The 23132-nt window shown below is 48.9% G+C and overlaps 1 protein-coding gene and 1 long non-coding RNA gene across 8 annotated transcripts in view, besides 1 other annotated feature; one reads left to right on the top strand and one right to left on the bottom strand.

The window, feature by feature from the left end:
- SCUBE3 (signal peptide, CUB domain and EGF like domain containing 3) overlaps positions 1-620 on the bottom strand; it is a 39124-nt gene extending 38504 nt beyond the window's left edge. For all 5 annotated transcript variants that reach the window (XM_005248943.2, XM_005248947.2, NM_152753.4 and 2 more), the window contains exon 1: positions 73-620. In XM_005248943.2, the coding sequence (XP_005249000.1) occupies positions 73-157 (85 nt within the window). In that variant the 5' untranslated portion in view covers positions 158-620. The remainder of the gene's footprint in view (positions 1-72) is intronic.
- Positions 487-596: a silencer, noted in NCBI's record as "silent region_17084". NCBI's record gives its function as "represses an Ori minimal core promoter by ATAC-STARR-seq in GM12878 lymphoblastoid cells {active_cell/tissue: GM12878}" and the evidence as "EXISTENCE:reporter gene assay evidence [ECO:0000049][PMID:35858748]".
- On the top strand, positions 896-22068 carry LOC112267955 (uncharacterized). 3 transcript variants are annotated; one of them, XR_002956343.1, is made up of 3 exons: positions 896-1947; positions 13693-13775; positions 21966-22068. It is a non-coding gene; the product is annotated as an uncharacterized LOC112267955 (long non-coding RNA). The 3 variants fall into 3 exon arrangements; XR_002956344.2 differs by lacking the exon at positions 21966-22068 and adding an exon at positions 14296-19335; XR_007059560.1 differs by lacking the exon at positions 21966-22068 and having other exon boundaries at positions 13693-19335.
- The last annotated feature ends 1064 nt before the right edge of the window (positions 22069-23132 follow it).

The raw sequence follows: 23132 nt of genomic DNA, 5'->3' as shown, positions 1-23132 counted from the left end.
CGGGAATCGCTCCTAGGCCCTGAGGCCCAGCAGCCAGGACAGCCCCCAGGCCGCGCGCCCCTCCTTCCTTACCTTGCGCGGCTTTGCTGTACTGGGCGGCGCGGGCGTGGACCAGCAGGACAAGCAGGCAGAGCCCGGGTACGCGCCCCGAGCCCATGGCTGGAGCTACTGGCGGCCCAGCCGCCGGGGCCGGTCTCGCGGCCAGGGGAGGGCGGAAGCCGGCCGGATCCCAGCTCGCAGGAGGGGGAGGGGAGGGGGCGCCCCGCCGGGGCCAGGCCGGGGGCTGCAGTCGCGGGGCGCGGACCGCGGCGCCCTCGGCGCGAGGCTCCCGATGCTACCGGCTCCTCCTGGCCGGACGTCGGGGAGAGCGAGGCGGAGAGTGCGACGAGGCGAGGGGCGCCAGGGGCGACTGACGGAGGGGAACCCCCGCCCTCTCCAAGCCGGCCTCTGCCAGCGGCGGCGGCGGGGCTGCTCCGTGTAATCCCACCCAATTCCCAGCTTCGCCGGGAGAGAGCTGCAGCCGGAGAGCGCGCAGAGCCCGAGCGAAGGACCTGAGAAAGGGGAGGGGAAACGCAGCGCCAGAAACACGCCCTTTCTGCCTCTCTTTCTTCCTCTCTCGCTCTTTCTCCGTCTCTCAGGCTCTTTTTCTTCGCCTTTCTCCTCCTCCTCCTCTTTCTCCTCCTCTCCTCGCTCCTTTTCGTTTTCTTCCTCCTCCCCCTCCTCCTCCTCCTCCTCCTCCTCCTTCTCCACCACCTCCTTTTTCGTGCCCTTTTTTCTTTCAAATGGGGCCTCGGCGCGGTGGCCGCTCCCCCTGCGCGCCCGGGCGCGGTGGCCCCCTCCCCAGGCTGCCGGGCCGCTGCCTGCAGGAATTTACAATCCGGCGATGGGGGAGCGGGCCTGGTCTCCATGGAGACGGCTTCCCCGGGAGCAGGGAGGTCAGGCGCAGACCGCGCGCAATCAATGGATCAATGCAAGCTCCGCTCGGCTCCAGACCAAACAGCACCGGGCTCCGACTCGTCCTCGCTCCCCTAGGAAAGAGTCGGGGAGCGAGGGTGCGTCCCCGCGCTCGCTCGCGAGGACGGCCGTGCGGCGCCAGGTTTGAACGCACACCTCCACCCGAGACAAAGAGGGTGCGAGGTGTTGGGGAGGCTGGGGCAGACGTGGACACACGGACACACGGGCACTCGGGCGTGTCCACCGACACAGCCTGACAGGGGACATAGGACCTCGGAACACACCGCCTCCGACACCAGGCCGAGTAACAACCTCTCAACTTTTACACCTACCACACCCCCAACCTCAAGACTCAGTCCCCATTCCTAGATGCGAGTCCACTTTGAGGACCAAAAAGAAAGTAGCCTCCGCCTGCTAAAACTGCCAGCTCCAGGGCAGACTCCCTTGCAGTTAAGGCCTTGGAGGTAAGCCTAATGAACCACCCTACCCGCAGAGACATGGACTCACATACAGACACTCTCATGTGGTCAGCACAGGGGCGAAAGCTACCCCACAGAATCATGTCTATGTGTATAAACACAGAGACATAGAGACAGGTACAAGAGGCTCCTCCAAACCTGCACCCCGCTTCAAGAGGTGGTCCTGACTGGTCCATTCTGAACCCTTCATCCTTCCAACTGAGGGGAAGCAGAGGAAAGAGAAAGGATATTTTTAAAACAGGGGCAAACCGCAGAAGGAGCAGGGTCTTCCAACCATGGATGCTGCCTCTTGACTGTTCACCCACTCTGTATCTTCTTTCCTTCCATTGTAAGGGAAAGAGGAAAGACCTCTTGAAAGGCTATGAAGACTTTCTTGGAGTGTGAGGCTGTGTTCAGAATGAGACCAGGCCAGGTCCAGTTTTCTACAGGGAAGATGCTGCTAGGACCCAGACTAGCCTCACAGAGCCCTCAGCGTACCCAGGAGGAAGAGGCAATGACCAAGATCTCCTCAAAGGTGATTCAGTTCTGAGACCTTCCATATTGGCTGCCCACATCAGCTGGGGCAAGGGGAGGACTTTGTTGGCAATGGTGCTGTCCACCAGGGAGAAGAGCTGAGCCCTTCCTTTCCTAGGGATTCAGTGGAAAAGTAGGATGGAAACAGACTCAAACTTCTTATCCTGGGATGAAGATTACTTTTGAACAAGTCATATGTCAATGGGCCTCAGTTTCCTCAGAAAACAAGAGGGTAGTGGATTCACTCAGTGGTGGAAAGGGGGCAGTGCCCCAAGGAAGCCTGGGGGAGGAGTCCTGGAGAACCTTGCATAGCATCAAAGATGACCTTTGGGATGGGAGCACATAGATCATGGGAATGGTGTGGAGGCCACAGCAAGGCTGGGTCAGATGATTGAGGTCCCTCCCATCCTTGTCACTCTAAGATGCCCTCCCTCCTTCATTCCACTGGCAAAACCCTCCCCTTGCAGCGGTTTTGCCTGCTGCCACCAATTATGTGTAGGGTTGGAGGACAAGTGTAAATTTGCCATCTTTTTTGCCCCCAACAAGAGAATGGTTTCAAAAAAGGAGAAAGAAGTGGAGGTTGCCGGACGGTGTCTGTGATCTCCATGGGGGCACAGAGAGAGAGAGCCGAGGAGCTCCCCCACGGCTGGGAGGGGAGATGGCACGCTGCCTTGCTTTGCTCTGCCTCTGCCTTCTTTGGACACTAGTGTAGCTCCTCCGGGTCCCTGGGGGGTTGGAGGGAGGGCCCCTACATCCTCCTTGAGGTGGGCAAGGAGGATTCTATAGGGGGATTATGGGTTATTTGGGGCCTTCAGTTCAGGGTGATTTCCCGGCCCTCTGAGTACGGATATTGCCCTGGCTTTCAGGGAGGGAGGTTTGGTGGGTTCTTCCACCTAAGCCACTATGTCTCTGGAAGATTGATTTTTATGCCCCGTAGTTGCCTTTTATCTCATCCTACCAGTTTTCCTCTGATGATTTCCTCTTTTCCTCTTGGACCAGATGAGCTACTCCTCCACATCTGGGCAAAAAGAGGCAGTTCCCTGCTCTTCTCTCCTGCTGCCACTCACCCAATCTGATTCCAGAGTACCCTCAGCCCTTCAGACTATTCTACAGGAGTAGAAGCAGGGCTTATATCACCAGGACACTGTGAATTGAGGTGCTGGTCCAATTCATATTGCCTTTTGCCCTGTCCTCTTCTGCAGGGACTCAGTTGGACAGTAACTCAGGAAGATGACAGGGAAGGAACAACAAGATGGCACTTGCAAGTGGTACTACAAAAGCAGCAGCAGCACGTGCCATATCATAACCAGCAGGGGCAAAATGTCCAGTGGGCTCTGGGCCTCCTACACGCACCTCTAAGGTTGCAGTTTGCTTTGGGGCTTCATTTTCCTTCAGGGATGCTTCTGACATTTGTTTCATTCTACTTGCTCCTGAAAATGTCTGAGGAGAAGACTGGCAGGGGTCAGGGATCCCCTAGCTGATAGATCTTGGTTCAGTCCTGTTTAGGGATCCTTCTGCCAGGGCCCACCAGGCTCAGGGGTTTCCCCTCCCCTGCAAAGTCTCCTTCCATGAGCGTTGCTTTTTCTTTCTGCTCCTCAGTTTCCCTATATATAAAATGAGTCCAATGACCCTACCTCGATGGGCAGTGCCATATAGTCTAATGGAGAGCACATACAAGCTGGAAGTAGATTGCCCTGAGATCATTGTTAGGCCCTACCATTTCCCAGCCATCTATTTTTCTTGGTGAGTTGTTTCACTTTTCTGAGCCTCAGCTTCCTCACCTGGAAAATAGATATGGTTATATGACCTCAAAAGTGTCCGTCCATCAGTGTCTGTGTGGGCTCTAAACAAACCTGCAATTCAAATCTCAGCTCTGGTGCTTTCTACCTCTGTGACTTCAGGGAAATTACTCAATCTCAGGGAGTTTCAGTTTTCTCATCTGACATAGGGGATAAAAACCTCGTAGGGTTATTGGTGTTAATTAAATGAGATAATATATAGAAAACACCTGGCACTGGCACATGTAGGCATTTAATAGGTAGAGGCTATTGTTGTTCTTTCCACTACTTCTCAGAAGAACAAAAGCCCAAGTGTTTGGGGCCAGCTGCAGTGGCTCACACCTGTAATCCAAGCACTTTGGGAGGCCAAGGTGGGCAGATCACTTGAGGTCAGGAGTTTGAGACCAGCCTGACCAACATGGTGAAACCCTGTCTCTACTAAAAATACAAAAATTAGCCAGGTGTGGTGGTGCACGCCTGTAATCCCACCCACTTGGGAGGCTGAGGCAGGAGAATCACTTGAACCTGGGAGTTGGAGGTTGCAGTGAGCCGAGATTGTGCCACTGCTCTGACCTGTGCGACAGAGCTCAAAAAAAAAATAAAAATAAAAAAGCCCAAGGGTTTGATAACAAAGGTATAGTAGTGGCTGGTGGGAAGAAGCAGCCTTGTCCCAGATTAGGCTTTGATGCCACTGGGTGTGAGCACAGCCAACTGGGCTAGATTCTCACCACCCCCAACAGGTTCCTGTCTGTCATACATACCTACTGAGAAGGTTCCAAAAATTCCATGCATTCCAGCACACTGCCCTTGTCATCAGCACTTATACATTATGCAGTTAGAAGAATATTCACTTGCCCACTAGGTAGCTCTGGAGTCTCTCCATCCCTACTGTCTTGCACCTCCTACTCTACCTTAAGAAGACATAGACACCCCGAGACACAAATTAGAGCTCATAGCTACCATTTACCAAGTGCTTTCTATGTTCCAGGCACTATACCAGGCACTCCATCACGAGCCTGTAAGGCAGGAATTGTTATCCCCATTTTATTGGTGGGAAAACTGAGGCTCAGGTAGATTAACTTACCCAGGATGACAGACTAAGAAAGAAGAAAGCCAGGACTTGGGGCCAGGCCTGACTCTGAAGCTTGTATACCTCCTCAGCTGTCTACACTGCCTCCTCTGAATTCACAGAGACTTGATACACTTTTGCCACTCACACCCTAATCAGAGGGAGGGGATCTTACTAGGCTGGTGGACAGGCTGACTCTGTCCTTGCTTTGCACTCCTTCAGGGTAGCTCAGGAGTCATTTTGCCATATAGGCAGAGGCTTGGAAGTAACCCTCTCTCAAAGTCTGTTTCCCAGCGCTGGGATTTTAGGAGTACCTTGTTCCCAGGCCCTTAGTGTTGGCTTTACAGAGAGGTCCACAGGCAGCCCTGCCAAGACATGGGGCAGAGGGAACCCAATCCAAGCTGCCCACACCTGTTCCAGCCTCTCCTCCAGACACTTAGGCCACCTCCAGTTTAGCTCCCTTGGCCCTTCACCCCAGTTTCCTCCCACCCCTCCTCTCTGCCCACATCCACTCCTGAGTTACCTTGCCACCTGCTTCCTCTCCACCTGTGCCCCAGCTGCTTTCACTAAGGAAACAAAAATCTCTACCCTGCCAACTGGCATCATCACCGATGTGTGGTTCCAGACCCCTGCACATCACAAGGCAAATCTCCAGCCACCCCAGGCCTGCACCCTGTCCACTTCCACACAGCTGCCCTCCCAAACTTGTTTCCCTTCTGCCAACCCCAGCCCCCATACTTCTCCAATCAGCATCCTCAATTCCTGTTTCTCCAAAAAGCCAGGAGCCATCTAACGTGAGCCTCCTATCGCCTGCTCCCTTCTCTCTCCACTGCTGGGAGAGGGGTCCATCCTTTTGGCCAAACCTAATACCATGTACATGTACCTGGATCTCATCCCCTCTTGCCACTTCAGGGAGCTGGCTCTGTCAGTTATCCCCTCTTTTGCCTGAATGTCTCACCTCAGCTCCCCCTGTAAACACAATAAGATCTGCAGCATCCTATAGTAGCAACAGGGAAGTAACCCAGACCCTGCTGCCTCTTGTCCTTCCAGGCTCCCAACTTCTCTGCCCTAGGTCTCCATGACACTGCTTCCCTTTCATCCCTGGCCCTAATGCATTCTGTCCCAGACTCCCTCTGCCACCCCTCCCCCAAAGTCTCCAGCGACTTCCACGTCTTCATATCCAGGGCTGTTTGCCGGTCCTTATCTAGCCTGACATCTCTGCCTCATCCAAAACCTCTGAACATTCTTCTTCCGCTTCTTGGAGCACTTTCTTCTCCTGCATCTCCTGCTGGCTGCTTTCTCTCTGCTGGCCTCTTACATGCTGGAGAGTTTGGGCTTCTAGCTTGGCTTTTTTCACTTCTCACTCTACATGACCTCCCTAGGGGACTCTCTGAGGGACAGCAAGGGTGAAGGAAAGAACATTGGCTTTGTGGTCAAATAGTCCCAAGTTTAAATCCCAGCCACGTCAATGGGTGAGCTTGGGCAAGTTTCTTCACCTCTTTGAGCTTTATCATCCTCATCTGGAAAATAGGGAGGATAAACTTCTGTTACTGATGTTTGGAGTGTTACTGATGATGACTTGTGTGGAAGGTCCCTCACGAAATAGGCGGACAGCACGTAGTGGGGCATTATGGCTCCAGGCACCACCAATATGCCAGTGACCACCAAATCTATATCCCTAACCCCACTTTTCTCCTAGCTCTAATTCCGCATATTCAATTTGCAGATCTATAGCTCTAGCTCCCTTCTCTGCTTCCTATCTAGTCCTATATTTCCACCTACTTATAGATACTTCCGATGATATTTTTCAAGACCTGAAGCTGAACCTACCCCCAGCTGAACTCATTCCTCACAACATCCTCCCCTGACCTGTCCTCTTCCCGTGATCTCCATCTTGAGGTTAATAGCTCAAAACCTACTCAGTGGCCCCATTTGGACTCCTCAGAGTCCTAAGGACAGTCCTCCTCCTGATCCCCCTTGCTGCTGCCACAGTTCAGGTACTTCTTGTGTCTCCTGTGGGCCACTGCCTGACAGAGCTAAGTTCTGGCTGCTTGGCACAGTGTACGTGGCCTTCTGTGCCAGTCCTGAGCCTTTATTTCCAATGACATTTCATGCTTGTCTTCTAACTTCACCATCACTACACCCTAGCTACACCATGCCTGGCACGCACCATGTTCTTGTCAGCTGGAGAACTACTGCCCTTTAAAATCTTGTAGTGGCTCATGCCTTTAATCCCAGTATTTTGGGAGGTTGAGGCAGGAGGATGACTTGAGGCCAGAAGTTCAAGACCAGCCCAGGCAACATAATGAAACCCTGTCTCTACAAAAAAATTCAAAAATTAGCTGAAGTGGTGATGTACACCTGTAGTCCTAGCTACTCAGAGGTTGAGGTAGGAGGACTGCTTGAGCCCAGGAGTTGGAGGTTCAGTGAGCTGTGATCTCACCACTGCACTCTAGCCTGGGCTACATAATGAGACCCTGTTAAAAACAAAAATAAAAAGATCCAGCTTCCATGGTACCTTGGCAGGGAAGTCTTTTTACTGCCCCAGCAGACTTGGAGCTCAGTGGTCCTTGAAACCTATCCCAGTGATGGCCCTGGCTATCGCTAATGGTCTGTTTACCTTCCACTAGTTCTGTCAAACCTTTGAGGGCAAGACCCATTTGGGTCACCTCTGTATCCCCAGCTCTAAGCATATGCCTGGAAGATAGTTGTGTTCAGTGAATATTTACTGAATAGCTGAAAGAATAAAGGAAGGGTGAGCTCACGCAAACCCCAGAGGAGAAGTGAAGCATTCCCTGACCTCGTCTCCCTGCCTCCCACCCGTCTGAGGATGCTTCAGGTTTCCTGGAGGACCTAGGGCAGCAGAGGGTGTTCAATGGAAGGGCAGTGTGGAAAACCCCACTGAGGAAAGACCATGTACACACAGGGGGCCTAGGAGAGGACTCCTGCTAGAGACTTTCAGGGTCTGGAAGACACAGATGCGTATCTGGAACCTTCCAAGCCAGAGCTCAGGATATCCCCAAAGGTCTGAAGAACTGGGTAATGGCAGCCTAGATAAAGCAGCCAGAGGTAGGAGACTGGTCAAGAAGCAGCCTGAGTGGTCAGAGGTCTGGGGCCAGAACAGATGAAAGGGGTCTATAGGCAGCTCTCATATGAACTCTGGGAGGCAAGTCCAGGAAGGAGAACCCTAGGTGAGGCCACTTGAAAGTCCCTGGGGGATTCTCTGCCACCTCATCAAAGATCTTTCTGACTGATGCTTAACATTCCATTATTGGAGAATCACTCCTTTGAGCTAAACCTTATGTTCTTTGGCCCTAAATACAAATATTCCTGTGAGAGAGGGTGACGGCCTTTGCCAGTTAAAACTTTAGTTATCAGTTGACACCCTAAAAAATGTGTTGTGAGTGTCAGAGGAGGGGGCTGTAGGAACACTCATAAGGAACTTCCTAATTTTGCTAAGAGGTGGCTTGCTTTCCCTCCCCCTACCCTATTCTTTATGGCTATCCTCTCCTAGATCTCCACTGGGTTCCCTCCTCAGAGGAAAAGATGGAGAGGTGGAGAAGGACCACTTCATCTACCAATACCACTCCTATGGATATCCTGGATTAAGGAAAGGATAGGTGGAAGTATTGGGGCAAAGTTCAATTTATCCATGAACCAACTTCAAGTAGACCATAAAGCAAATTGTTGTAAAACAAAGCTCAGTTGCCCAATAGCTTCTATTACATTTCCATAGAAGGGCTCCCATTGGGCTGAAAATCATTCTAGGAGAAGCTGAAAACCTGCAATAAGGAAGGATCGTCGGAATGTTTGCCAGCTATGTGCTTCTGCTGAGTGTTGATATCCTTACAGAATTTTGCCTCCCTTTTGCAGCAAGAGGCTCTCTTTTCGTCATGCCACGTCTCCACTTCTGAGCTGACTTGGCAAAGCTGAGGGACATCACAGTCAGGCTGACATTCCTTGGTGCCCTGCTCTGGTCCTGCAAAATCTAGTCTGTAGGAAGTTGCAGTATGTTGAAGAAGAACGGGCTTCCCTGGGCCCCTGACCCAGACTCAGTGATGTTCCACCTCTTGATCAGCTTAAGGGCTACTGAGGAGGGAGAGGAGCTCATTCTTTTTTTTTTTTTTTTGAGACGGAATTTCGCTCTTGTTGTCCAGGCTGGGGTGCAATGCTGCGATCTCAGCTCACCGCAACCTCTGCCTCCCAGGTTCAAGTGATTCTCCTGCCTCAGCCTCCCAAGTAGCTGGGATTACAGGCATGCGCCACCACACCCGGCTAATTTTGTATTTTTAGTAGAGACAGGGTTTCTCCATGTTGGTCAGGCTGGTCTTGAACTCCTGACCTCAAGTGATCCACCTGCCTCGGCCTCCCAAAGTGCTGGGATTACAGGTGTAAGCCACCGCACCCAGCCCGGAAGGAGCTCTTCTGTCTTTACCCTCTGTCCCCAGTCCCCGGTCCAATGCTGCTGGGATTGATTGAGAAATTTGGTGGCTTCTCTTTGGTAGATCCAAGCTGTAATGCCACCCTTTACCAGTAGGTGCCGCCATCTAACATACCATCCTTCAGCCCTTGGTGAAGTCCTGAAGCCAGACCTCTGGGAGTCTACTCAGGGAACCCACTGCCTCAAACAAATTTGCAAATAAAATTATTGTATTTGAAATAGGCCCACATTGGTGAAGTTAAGATGTGGAACTAATTGTATGTGTATTTCTATATAACCACAGACTCAATGTTTGATGTTTGACATTTATTGTGCACTTACTATGTACCAGGGACTTAAAGGATGTGGGGATTCAAAGATGACATGGTTTCTCCTTTTAAGTTTATGATTTGGCAAGAGAAATTCACATCTAAATAATTGGAATATAAGGCAGAATGTGGTAAATGTCCAAACATGGAGGTGCCAACATAAAATTCTAATGAGGGCATAAAGAGCACAGATTAATTCCAGCTGGAAGCAGGAGGACAACTCAGTGGAGGAGGAAAGGGTTTAAAGCTGACCTCAAAGAATATATAGAATTCTCATACATGGAGTTGGGTGAAGAGAGTGAGGGCTTTCCAGGTGGCAGGAACAACATGAGCAAAGACTTGGAGAGGAGAATGTCTTCAGGGAATTAATAATTGGTTCAATCAGAGACAAGTATTTCAGAGAGTGTGGAGGAAGATCTGAAAGGTGGGATGGGGCTAGACAATGAAGAGCCTGTTTCCATCAGATGCTAAGCGACTGACAGTGTTGCATAGGCTCCGGGAACCCGGCAACTTTACAGCAAAGTAGCAGCATGGCGGGCTCACTTCATGAATTAGCTTTATGTGTGCTCCAGGATTTCTTCAATGTGTTGATTTTTAGTGAATTTATTTCATCATGAATGCAGGAAGAGAACAGAAAGAAAAACGGGGAAAAGAGGACATAAAAAGAAGTGGGCTGGGCATGGTGGCTCACACCTGTAATCCCAGCACTCTGGGAGCCTGAGGCAGGCGGATGACGAGGTCAGGAGATCAAGACCATCCTGACTAACACAGTGAAACCCCATCTCTACTAAAAATACAAAAAATTAGCTGGGTGTGGTGGCGGATGCCTGGAGTCCCAGCTACTCGGGAGGCTGAGGCAGGAGAATGGTGTGAACCCCAGGAGGCGGAGCTTGCAGTGAGCCGAGATTTGGCCACTGTACTCCAGCCTGGGTGACAGAGCAAGACTCCGTTTCAAACAAACAAACAAACAAAAAAGAAGTGACAGGGAGGGAAATAATGGACAGAAGGAAAAGAGAGATGGAGAAGGAAGAGAGAGAAAGAGAAGGAGGCAGCCCTGGAGGAGACAAGGCAAACCCTGAACTGTTCAGGGGCCAAGCTTAAGGAGCTACTTGGGCTTTTCCAGGCAAACGACCTCTGGCTTCTTGCCCTGGCCAACCACAGAGGACAATGTGAGGCGAGTTTGTTTGGTGATGTGTTTTCTGCTGGCCCTGTTTGTTTGTTTTTCATTTTTCTGGTATTGGACAGATCTGGGGTGAAGGAAGAGGGAGACAGGGTTGTGGCTGGCATTGATAGTGGTCCTTGGGCTGGGCTCTGGGCTGCCCAGAGCCCCCCTTTAGTGGGGGCTTATGGGCATTGGAGCTGAACTTTTGATGTCCCTGGAAGGGGGCCTTTTTGTAGGTGCCCAGAGCCAGGTGGCCTTCCCAAGCCTGGAGATGGTTTGCCCTAAGCTCTTTGTCTCTGTCTTTCCCCACCCTGGCAAGAAAGAATTAGTCCTTGAGGCCTGGGCTCCTTGCCTGTGTAGCCAGGATGTCGTGCTGGGCTGGGGAGCCCATGGGGGTAGCAAGAGCAGCTGCTTCCAGATTGGTGCTGGGGAACGCAGGGGCAGTCCACGAGAGCCAGCCTTCTCCCCAGCCCCGATGATGAGTCTGGCTTTCTCTCCCGTCCCACAGCCCTTGGAAGCCAACCTAACAAGTTCTATTAAAGTTAATGAAACACAATGATTCCTCTGTTTGCTTGGTTACAACTCATTACGAGTTGCTCTTGCTTGCTCGGCTTTTGCAGAGGAGATTCATTTGAGTAGCCAGTGCTTGGCCTTTGTCCCCCTAATTTTTACTGGCCCATTAACAAGATCAGACACTTTGGCTGACCAGGAATATCTAGTACCCAAGTCCCAACAAAACCCATTGGGTGGAGTTTCAGATGACCTTTTGAGTCTAAATTAGCCTAAAAACATGCTGCCGCCCTTCCTCCCTCTGTTGCTTCCCTATATCCAAACTCAGTTTTATATGTAGGTACAATAGGAGTATGCAGAGATTTCAGAAGTTAGGAGATGCTTTTCCAGCCTCTTTAGAATGTATCTCAACCCACTGATTTAGAGAAGTTCCCTAGTAAGAGCTCCAGCTCGATTTAAGGGCTTTCCTCCCCCATTTAAATGGAAATAAACTGAACATTGTTAGTCACTTATACTTTGGTGTGAATTAGTTCATATTGTCACTTTAAGGGGATTTGGGAGTCTCCTAAATTGTATACAAACTTTTGTCCACATTATCCATTCTTCCAGAGAGAGGTTTTCTATAGCTTTCTTCAAAATTTCCATAACCGTCCCCCCACCCCCTACCCCAACACGTACACACACACACACACAAACTCTCTCTCTCTCAAAAGGTTAACAACCTCTGTGTTAGTAGAAGAGTGGGCCGTAACTGGGGCACAGAAGACAAACTCTCCTTCCTTCACCATCTGCTTGGCCAGTCCTGCCTCTAAGGAGGGACCTTCCCCTCCTCCTTGAGTTCCTTATCCACAGACCTCCCATTGTCACCACAGCTCAATCATGTGCTTCCCAAATCTTAAAACCAACCTCAAGTTGGTGGGGAGGAGTCAAAAGGAGAGCCCTTGAACTCTATGTTGATTTACATGCCGAGGCTGTAAATGATAGGTTTACATGCTGGTGTAAATACTCATAAACTCGCAGTAAGTGCAGGGCATCACATGCTTTCAGTGTCCAGATCCTCTGCAGCCCGTACAGGCCTGGCATTCTCAGGGTCAGGGAGGAGAGCGCCGAGTTGGCAGCAGCTAGCATGACAGGGGCTGACTATGACTATGGAGGAAAAGGGCGTGCTTGGAGTTGGTCTCTAAACCCTCATCCTCTCCCATACAGCAGGTGGCTTCTGCACAGTGATACCTTGGCATGACTCCCCCTGCTGCTCAGCCAGCCTGACTGTTCTTTTGGGTTAAAGCATTGTCTCCAGAAGGTCCCTGTTAAAATGCAAAGGGGCTTCTTGCAGGGTGACTTGGGCTGGTTGGCTGACTGGCTGTCACTCAACAGAAAACAGAGACCCCAGATCAGGGAGGTTAAGGTTTGGGAGAAAGGTTCAGGTGGGTCAATACTATAGCTATATGAAGTTGATTTAAATGGCTTTCCAGGTGTTCTCCCTAATTCCACTCTTGGGGGCTGAGAATCTATCCTTCATATGGCAGCCAGAGTCGTTTTAAAGCTGGGCCATACAACCTCAACGTGATTGACGTTTGTTGGGGGGCCATCCTATGCATTGTAGCACATTTAGCAGCATCCCTGGCCTCTACCCACTAGGTGCCAGCAGCAGCACTCCCTCCCCACGTTGCGACAGCCAAAAATGTCTACAGACATTGACACATGTCCCCTGGGGGAGGGGAGTGAAATCATACCCCCTATCTTCACTTCCCCCTGCCCCACTGAGAATCTCCATCATAAAGTGTAAGTCAGCCCATGTTACTCCCTGGTCAAAAATCCTACCATGTCTTCTCATTGTTCTGAGCATGAAATCCGCCGTTTGGCCCAGCCTTCAAGGCCTTGTGTAGTCCAGCCTTGCCTCCCTCTCCTGCCCCACCTTGTACCCCTCTGCTGTCATCTACCATCACCCTTTAGCCACATATAACCCTTTTTGACATACCTCGATAAACCAAGCTCTTTCTTGGACAGGGTGGAAGATGGAGAGATATGGGCAGATTTAGAGTAAGTTTCAGAGGCCCTAATTTCTTTGGATTTTACTGGGAGGCCTTTTCTTTTCGCTTTTTTGAGATGGAGTTTAACTCTTGTCGCCCAGGCTGGAGTACAATGGCGTGATCTCGGCTCACTGCAACCTCTGCCTCCTGGTTTCAAGCAATTCTCCTGATTCAGCCTCCTGAGTAGCTGGGATTACAAGCGCTTGCCACCATGCCCGGCTAATTTTTGTATTTTTTAGTAGAGACAGGGTTTCACCATGTTGGCCGGGCTGGTCTTGAACTCCTGATCTCAGGTAATCCACCCGCCTCAGCCTCCCAAAGTGCTGGGATTACAGGCATGAGCCACCGTGCCCGGCCTAGGGAGGTCTTTTCATATTAGCTTATGACAACTTGTAAATATTTAACTTACTGAATTATTTACTTTTGTTTTTCCCTTCTCCCCAACTAGAACGTAAGCTCCATCAGAGCAGGGACCATGTCTGGCTTGTTCACTATCGTGTCCTCATCATCTCCTGTACTGCCTGCCACATGGTAGGTCCTCGGTGATTACCTGTGGAATGAATGAATAAGGGTGGCAGGAGTTCAGAGAGGGAGAGGGACTCTTCTGGAAGGTTAAGGGAAGGTTTCCTGGGCATGCTGAGGCTTGAAGCTTGGGTAGGAGGTGGGGAGGGTAATCTGGGACAGAATTTAGGGGATGGCAGAAGCAGGGGCCTAAAGAATTTCACAGTGGCCAAAATGTGCTGCAATTAACCCAAGTGACATCCAGGCAGCAGGAACTTGTCATGGGGCAGAAGAACAAGTCTGATGTGAATATGATTCTCAGTCTGAGTGGATCCAAGGGGGTGAAGTAGTTGAGTCCCCTAAGTTGTTGAGGAAGTAGGGAGGGAAATCAGTTAGGCTAGAGCCTAGCAAAACCAGGGCCAAACCAGGGAGGGTTTGATTGCTGAGACTGGAGTATGGAATTGGCTGAGCCACTGAAAGGTGATGATTATTCCTCCCCTGGTATCTGATGTTGGTGATCTTGACTTCTCTGATCCCCTCGGATCCCCAGAACCAGCTCTGTGATCCTAAGTGAAGTCAAGGGACTGACCGGACACATGAACCTAGATCTCTGCAAAGAGCCCTGGGACCCAAATGGGAGAGGTCCAGGGCCTGGTTCCATCATCCCTCCCTCTCTTGATGTGTGGCCTTGCTCAAGGCGTTGGACTGCAGTGGACCTCCATGTCCTTCTTTTGGAAAACAGAGTTAACAATACCTGCCCCATTCAGAGGAGAAATGAGGTCATGTTTGTGCAGCACAGTGAGCTCACTGGAGACAATGAGTGTATTCTTCTTAACAGTAACAATAATAATCATTACTGAAAATCTAACCAGTAAATATATCTCCTCAAAGCTGGAGTTGGCCCCTCAGTAGGATAGCAATTAAAGTTTTTTTAAAAATCTCTAGATGGGGAAATTTTCTGGCTGCATTTTGATCTCTGGGGTTTGCAGAGTTGATATCATTGTGGGAGGGAGAGAGGCCTGCAGCAATCATTCATCTCAATTCCATTCAATTGTACTTTTTGTATCTCCCTTGTCCTTGAGTTCTATCCACTGGGCTTTGCAATTTCTCATCCTCTATTAGTCCTGAGGGAAAGAAGTCCCTAAATTCCGCATCTCCACACTCACCCGCTGTCCCATTCACTGACATAAACAGTGACCTGGCTACTGGAGATCCTGGGCATTCGAGCATTGGCCACAAACTATCCTGCAAAGAAAGTGGTCTGTCTTGGGTACATGATTCTCTTTCCTGCTCATCCCACTTAGTGGGCCAGTGATTCCCAAGCCGAGCTGTGCATTCAAAGCCCCCAGGAGTGGGTCCATGGATTATCAGGTGATTCTAATTTAGCCAGCCTAGCACCTGTCTGAATTTGAGAATTGCAAGGTTTTCAACCATTAGTTGTTAAATGTGTGTACAAGGAGCAGAGTGATGCTAATACAAAGGCATTGTTGCAGTTTGGGTCAAGCTGGCAAAAGACCGTCTCTCCTGCTACAATACACAAAATGACAGAAAAACTCTTGGAACAAATAAAATAGTAAATCCAATATCGTGTGATAAAACAGAGAACCATCAGCAGATCAGAAATGTTGGATCTGTGAGAGAGAAAGATAAATGGCATCAAAGCTATAAAGAGGCCGGGCGCGGTGGCTCACGCCTTTAATCCCAGCACTTTGGGAGGCCGAGGCAGGCAGATCACTTGAGGTCAGGAGTTCAAGACCAGCCTGGCCAACATGGCAAAACCTCGTCTCTACTAAAAATACAAAAAAAATTAGCCAGGTATGGTGGCGTGCGCCTATAATCCCAGCTACTCAGGAGGCTGAGGCAGGAGAATCGCTTGAATGCGGGTGGAGGTTGCAGTGAGCCAAGAACATGCCACTGCACTCCAGCCTGGGCGACAGAGCAAGATTCTGTCTCAGGAGAAAAAAAAAAAAAGCTATAAAGAAATAAAACTGAAGGAAACCACAGCTAAAACATGCAGGAGAAGACTGCTATGGAGAAAAGAGTGGTTTGGGGGACTCCAAGCCTGAGTCAACAGACTCAAAGAAACCAGAGGAGGTCCCAGGGATATTCCTGAACACCAGTGCTCAACAGCTAGCAGCAGTGGATTTGCCCCAAGGTGCTGGGCTAGAGAGGTAAGCAATACTCCAAGTAGCTACTGACACTCTGGGAGAGGAATAGGGAGCCCTCAGCCAGGAGAAAGACTGTCAGCAGGCCACTCACCTCTCTCCCACTCCCCGTAACAGAGACAGGCTACAGTGAACAGAAAGCTGGCAAATTAAGGATGAGCAGAACATCAATAATCACCAAAAATTTAATGAAAAATATAACCATGACAGGGAGTAGCCCCAAGCCAATATTATCCAATAGAACTTTCTGCAGTGATGGAAATGTTCTATATTTGAGCTGTCCAATATGTAGCCACATACCACATGTGGCTATTGAGCACTTGAAGTGTGGCATCCGCAACTGAAAAACTGAATTTTTAATTTAGTTTTAATTAAATTTAAGCAGCAAGGCTCTACTGTATTGGATAGCATAGCTCTAAACTTAACATATGGAAGAGTTAATGCCCAAAGTAACAGAGATAATAGAGCAAACAAAAACAGAAACCAGTTTGGTTGATGTATAATTGTTATCTTCAAGAGATGCAAAATAATATTAAATCCATTTAAAAGAATCAATCAGGAGTCTAAGAAATTTAAAAATTGATCATTGAAATTCAAAACTCAGTAGATGGTCTAGATAGGTTTAATGATCAGGAAGACTGTCCTGAGAAAGTCTCCTTAAGCACATTAAAAAAGATAAAAAGATGGAAAGTCTGAGAGAAAAAATTAAGAACCATCTGTGGGATAGGCATTACAGAAAGCTAGAGCTTCAGAGAATAGAAGAGGGAAAATAATTAAAGAACTAACAAAAGAAAATTTCCCAATTGCTGAAGAAAGAAGTTAATCATTAGCTTGACCTCTCCCAGGGAAAAAGACTCACACCTAGACATATTATAGTAAAACTTCATAACAACAAAAATAAAGAAAAAAAATCCTAGAAGCTTCTGGAGAGAAAAAAAGCAGGTCTTCAATAGAATAATATTAAATTGGCATCAGACTGGATGTTAAAAGACAATGAAATATTATCTTCAAGGCCCTGAAGGGAAATGAAGTATTCAAGTGGGAGGAAAAAATTAAGATTTTTTTTTTTGTTTTACAAGAAGAAAGTTTGCCACCCTCGTATTCCTTAAAGAATTTCCAGAGGAGGTGCTTCAATAGAAAAATAGTGAATTCAGGAAAGAGGAAGACGTGGGATGCCGAAACTGTGGTGAACAAAGAAACGAGTAAAACTTTTAGTGAAGTCTGAGTAATTATTGAGGCATAATGTAAACATTTTAAAAACAACAATTTGGAGCAATAATCTACCCAGATGATCTCAACTTGGGAGGTGGCAGGTGGGGGAGGAGAAGGAGGAAAGTTAAATAATGCTACGGGAGAAAAAGTTCCTGATCAGCTCTAGTCATTTATAGAAAACTAGAAGTTAAAGGATTCATCTGCCTCAGAGGGTATGGAAGAAAAAAAAAAAAGCAGGATTCAAATTTAAAGGTAATCAGCAGAAGATGGAGAATTGGAAAATCAACTTCCAGATCAATAGAGCAAGTTAAAAAGATGGGGAAGGGGGCAAAGATCAGTCTAACAAAAAGCAGGGAAAGAGAGGAAAAAAGATAAGAAGAAAACAAGGTGAAGAGGAAGCATAAAATAAAATGACAGGACAAGTCTAAAGATATCATTAATAATACATGAGAAAAGAGAAAATTCCCCATTAAAGGGCATCCTTCTATACATATGATTTTTACAGAGATGTACTGAAACTGACAAGATCATTTTGAATATGAACAGATGGGGGAAATATATCAAGCAAATAATAACAAAAAGAAAGGAAGTATATTAGTATCAGACAAAATGAAATCCAAAGACAAAAAGCATTAAAAGAAACAAAGAAAGGCTGGGCATGGTGGCTCAAGCCTGTAATCCCAGCACTTTGGGAGGCTGGGGTGGGTGGATCTCTTGAGGTCAGGAGTTCAAGACCAGCCTGGCCAACATGGTGAAACCCCATCTCTACTGAAAATACACGCCTGTAGTCCCAGCTACTTGGGAGGCTGAGGTGGAAGGATCGCTTGAGCTTGGGAAGCAGAGGTTGCAGTGAGCCGAGATTGCACCACTGCACTCCAGCCAAAAAAAGAAAAAAACAAACAAATAAAGAAGGAGATATATTGGTGAAAATTATAATCTTCCAAACACATACAATTTCCACGATTCTTTAGGCACCTAACAACCCAGCTTCAAAATATGTAAAGTAAACACTGATACAAACAAAGGAGAAATGAACAAATCTATGGCTATGGATGAAAGCTTTAATAGACCTGTCTCAGAAATCTGTGGATCAAGTGACAAAAGTCATAATGAAAATAATAGAGGATTTGAGTGACACAATTAATCAACTTTAATAAATGTTATATCCAACAAATTGAGAGACATTTTTTTCAAATACCTGTTTAGCATTCACAAAAAGAAATACTCAAAAAAATTATGAAAACGATATTACATCAGCCATTTTCTCTTTCTACAATACATAAGAAAATAGCCTCAGGCTGGGCGCGGTGGCTCACACCTGTAATCCCAGCACTTTGGGAGGCCGAGGCGGGCAGATCAAGAGGTCAGGAGATCGAGACCATCCTGGCTAACATAAGAAAATAGCCTCAGGCTGGGCGCGGTGGCTCACACCTGTAATCCCAGCACTTTGGGAGGCTGAGGCGGGCGGATCAAGAAGTCAGGAGATAGAGACCATTCTGGCTAACATGGTGAAACCCCATCTCTACTAAAAATACAAAAAAATTAGCCAGGAGTGGTGGCGGGTGTCTGTAGTCCCAGCTACTCGGGAGGCTGAGGCAGGAGAATGGCATGAACCTGGGAGGCAGAGCTTGCAGTGAGCCGAGATCACACCACTGCACTCCAGCCTGGGCGACAGAGCAGGACTCCGTAAAAAGAAAAGAAAATAGCCTCAAAATGCTGGGATGTGATGGCACTCCATATTTACCTGTAAATGTAAACTAATTTACAGGAAATTCCCTGGAACCCAAAGCCTGGCTTATCTCTGCTACAGCTCTGCTCTGGGGTGTACTTATGAGTTTAAGTTTCACAAATGAATGTCACCTTCATGGTATCCCAGTAGGGGGAACATTATCTCTGCTCCCAGTAGTACTCAGCTTGGTATTTAAAGCCCAGCCCCCACAATCTAACCCCAGTCTTTCCTTTTTCACCTCTCCTGTTTCTCCAAAATGCAAAATGCCATAAACTCTTGGTACACTCACCACCTCTTGGGTATTCCCAGGATATCTGGGAGCCCATACACTTGGTCCATGACACTCATCCTGTTGCTTAACTCATGCCCCGTTACTTAACTCTTCCATCTGTGCAAAGCTCTCCTTCTCAAACAGCAAACTGTGGATCAAGGGTCAAATCTGGCCTGACTCCTGTTTTAATAAATAAAGTTTTATTGGAACCCAGTCACGTCCATTCACTTACATAATGCTAATGGCTACTTTCCCCATAGTTGAGTAGTTACAAGAAGATGATATGTCCTGTAAAACCCCAAATATATACTATATATGCCCCTTTATAGAAAAACTGCTGTGTAGAGATACTTTCTTCTTCTTGTGGTCATCTTACCAAGCTGGGGCACAAGAAGAACCCTTATTGCTCACTACATGATGAATAAAAAATAACTGGTTAAAGGGCCAGGCGAGGTGGCTCACACTTGTAATCCTAGCACTTTGGGAGGCCGAGGTGGGTGGATCGCCGGAGCTCAGGAGTTGGAGACCAGCCTGGGCAACATACGGAAACCCCATCTCTACTAAAATACAAAATATTAGCTGGGTGTGGCGGTGTGTGCCTGTAGTCCCAGCTACTGGGGAGGCTGAGGCAGGACAATTGCTTGAACCCAGGAGGCAGAGGTTGCAGTGAGTCGAGATCATGCTACTGCACTCCAGCCTGGGCAACAGACCAAGACTCCGTCTCAAAAGAAAGAAACAAACAAACAAACAAAAACTGGTAAAGAATTACCTGTGCAGGAAATACCAAGGATGCTCTTTGTGCCTCAAGAACACTGTCATGGGGAAAGAGGAGGCAATGTGAGCAGATAGATATCACTTTGCCGAAGTGGCAGGAAAGCAGGCTTTGGAGCTGGCTGACTCAGGTTTGACTTCCAGTGTGGCCACTTTCGAGCTGTATGACTTTAGGCAGATTTTATGCCCTTTCTGAATTCTCTGTAAACTGTGAATGATAAAATCTACCTCTAGGATAGTTCAAGTCTCAAGCAAAATACGGAACAGAAAACACCTAAATCTAGAAGCCCTAATAAATGGTCATTCTTTTTCATTGTAGACACAGAGTCTGTTCCAGGATCGGTATCCAATTACTCCAGGCCAGTTTCAAAATGCCCTCATCCAACACCCACAAGCCATAACCTTTTTATCTGGGTGGCCCTCCCTGTAGAAGACCACCACTTCTCCACCCCTGTATTTCCATGGCTTCCCATGGCTTCCTTCCTTAGCCTTCCATGTTCCACACTAGTTCTTATCCAGCCCCAACCTCCCTGACTTCTCTATCCCCTCACCACAGCACTTAAACTCTTCCTTACTCTGTTTTTGTTTTTGTTTTACCTTGAGACAGAGTCTTGCTCTGTCACCCAGGGTGGAGTGTGATGGCATGATCTCGGCTCACTGCAACCTCCGCTTCCCTGCTTCAAGCAATTTTCCTGCCTCAGCCTCCTGAGTAACTGGAATTACAGGCACCTGCCACCATGTCCAGCTAATTTTTGTATTTTTAGTAGAGACGGGATTTCACCATGTTGGTCAGGCTAGTCTTGAACTTCTGACCTCATGATCTGCCTGCCCCGGCCTCCCAAAGTGCTGGGATTACAGGTGTGAGCCACAGCGCGCGGTTGACTCTGCTTTAAATATCATTATTGACTTCCTGGAATCATTCTGTGGGTGTTTCCTGTGAACCCAGATACCTGCCGACACCGATTTGTCCCCACCAGGGGTCTAGTGAGCACTTGAAGGCTGGTCACTTGATTTGACAACAGTGGGCAGGGGCAGGCACTAGACAGGCTCAGCCTTGCTCTGGGCTGAATGAGCACGCACCCACTGGGCACAGCATCCTCATTCCAAGCCACCCCAGACAGCTTTGCCTGCCTGGTGTCCCAGGGTTTGAAATTTCTGCCACCTACAGAGGGATTGCTTTGTGATTATTTTTATCCTCAAGATATTCCTTTGTTAAAATACAGGTAATTCCTAGAAGGAGGCCACCTGCTTCCAAGTTCTTATCTTGAGTCACAGCTTGTGGGATCTTAACCCTTCAATGGTCAGCTAATCCCTGGGTTGTTGCAGCCTCAAATGAGATCATATAGCTGAAAACGATTTCAACATTGTGAAGAGTAATATATAAGCAAAGGATTATTCTCAGTCAGTGTTGGAAGGTATTAGCAATTATCTCCCCACTTATTGAAAATGGCATTTGAAACAGGCCCCCAAAGAGTGAATCTCTAGTGATTGAATTCCAGACCACAAAGTAAGTCAAAGACATTTATGGTGCCAGGGGCAGGTACTTTTCCACTCAAAGCCTGCTGCCTAGGTGGCCACTGCCCGAATTCTAGGCCGGTTCTGACCACTGGAGTCTTGGAGCAAAGAAGGGGCTGTTCATGTGACTGAGCTGTTGAGTCCAGAGGCATAGAACAAGGAAGAGTCTTCGAAGCCTCTCATTTTACAGATGAGGAAATTGAGGCCCACAGAGAGAAAGTTGCTCACCCATCCAAAGTCAGGGAGCCTAAAGAGAAAATTATGCCTGGGCCAAAATAGCTGGGATGGGACTGGAGGCCAGGAGGAGGCCAAAGACAGGAGGGGACTGACCTCTCTTGGGGGCTGTCCCTATGCACACCCAGCACAGACGGAGGACTCCACTCAGCCTCTCATCCAGCCCTCCTCCCCCATTACCCTACCCCCACCTCCCAGTGCAACCAACCTCTCCTTGCCTGGGGCCACTCTGCCAAGAGGCCTCCCATCCAGGCCCGTGGCCCACAGAGAGAAAGTCCAAAACAATGCCTCTAAACTGAAAACATTTTTGTCTTTCTCCACAGAACAATGGCCATTAACAGGCATGGAACTGGAGCAGAAATGGAATGAACCCTAGGGGCCTGGGAGCCTGGAGGGGTGTAGGAGTGGGGAGGGGATTGGGGAGACAGGCGGCAGAGGAAAGCGCCTGCCCTCGCCTCCTCCCATCACCCCCTATACCCCTGTCCCTAATGAGGTGCTTCTGGCGGCACCTGACTTTTCCATTGCAAACACCACTTGACTCTCGGCCCTTCACACTCTCATGAGGTTCTAAGGGGCTGCACAGGCGCCGCCCACCCCAGCCATGCCCTGGGACTCACCACACACCAGGAAGGCCGGGAGCTGCAGCAAGGGGACAGCTTAAAACAGCCCCACCAACACCCCAAAGTGGGTCTCCCAGTTCCCCGAGAAGGCCTGGATGCCCTGCTGAAGGGTGAGCAGGGCCATGTGGGTGACTTGGAGGACCCAATTCCCCGGCCATGGGAACCCCCAGCCTGGGCTTTCTTTGGGGGTAGCTGAGACAACGAGCCCCCACCCAGAGCAGGAGATGACGCATTTTTTCTGTGGCCACAAGCCACTTTGACGGGTCCGCCCCACTGGGGAGCAACCGAAACCTCATCCCACCCAAAGCGGCCTTTGTCTGCACTACATATTTGTCTTATTTGGAAGATTTTTGTGGGTTTTCCTGTCTTTCTCCAGCGCTCACTGCCCTAAGGGGGACGAAGGCCATGGCGGAGCTGAGGGAAGGGGGTGAGAGGCATTCTTGGGGCGCTGTGCCTGGTGGTCTGCAGCACATTTGGGGGTGGGAGAGAAATCCACCCCACACACCCTCGGCGCCCCAGTGATGCCTTGGCCCCAGGCCACACTCTGGGCCTTGCCTGTCCTCTGTGGACTCGTGCCCCTCCTGGTCCTCCCAGAGCTGTTTCCTCTCCATCTTCTCTCAGCCTCCTCAGCTCACTCTCCAATACTTCTGTTTATTCCCTCATGTTCCATCCTTCCAGCCAGCTTGGCACCTCATCATTTCCTACCTCCCCCGTCATGGGACCCTCTGCTTTCTTTCTACCTGTCTGAATTCTGAAGACTCTCCCAGGGCTTGTTCCCCCATCTTGCCTCCTCCTGGGAGCCTCCCTGGACTACTGTAGCGCTTGGCAGGATCTCCTCCTTCTGAAATGTAAAAGTATGTGTTTTCTATC

Source organism: Homo sapiens, chromosome 6 (genome assembly GCF_000001405.40).
Source record: "Homo sapiens chromosome 6, GRCh38.p14 Primary Assembly".
Taxonomy (NCBI): domain Eukaryota; kingdom Metazoa; phylum Chordata; class Mammalia; order Primates; family Hominidae; genus Homo; species Homo sapiens.
Note: the sequence above shows the minus strand (reverse complement) of the source record. Positions and strands in the feature narration are given on the sequence as shown.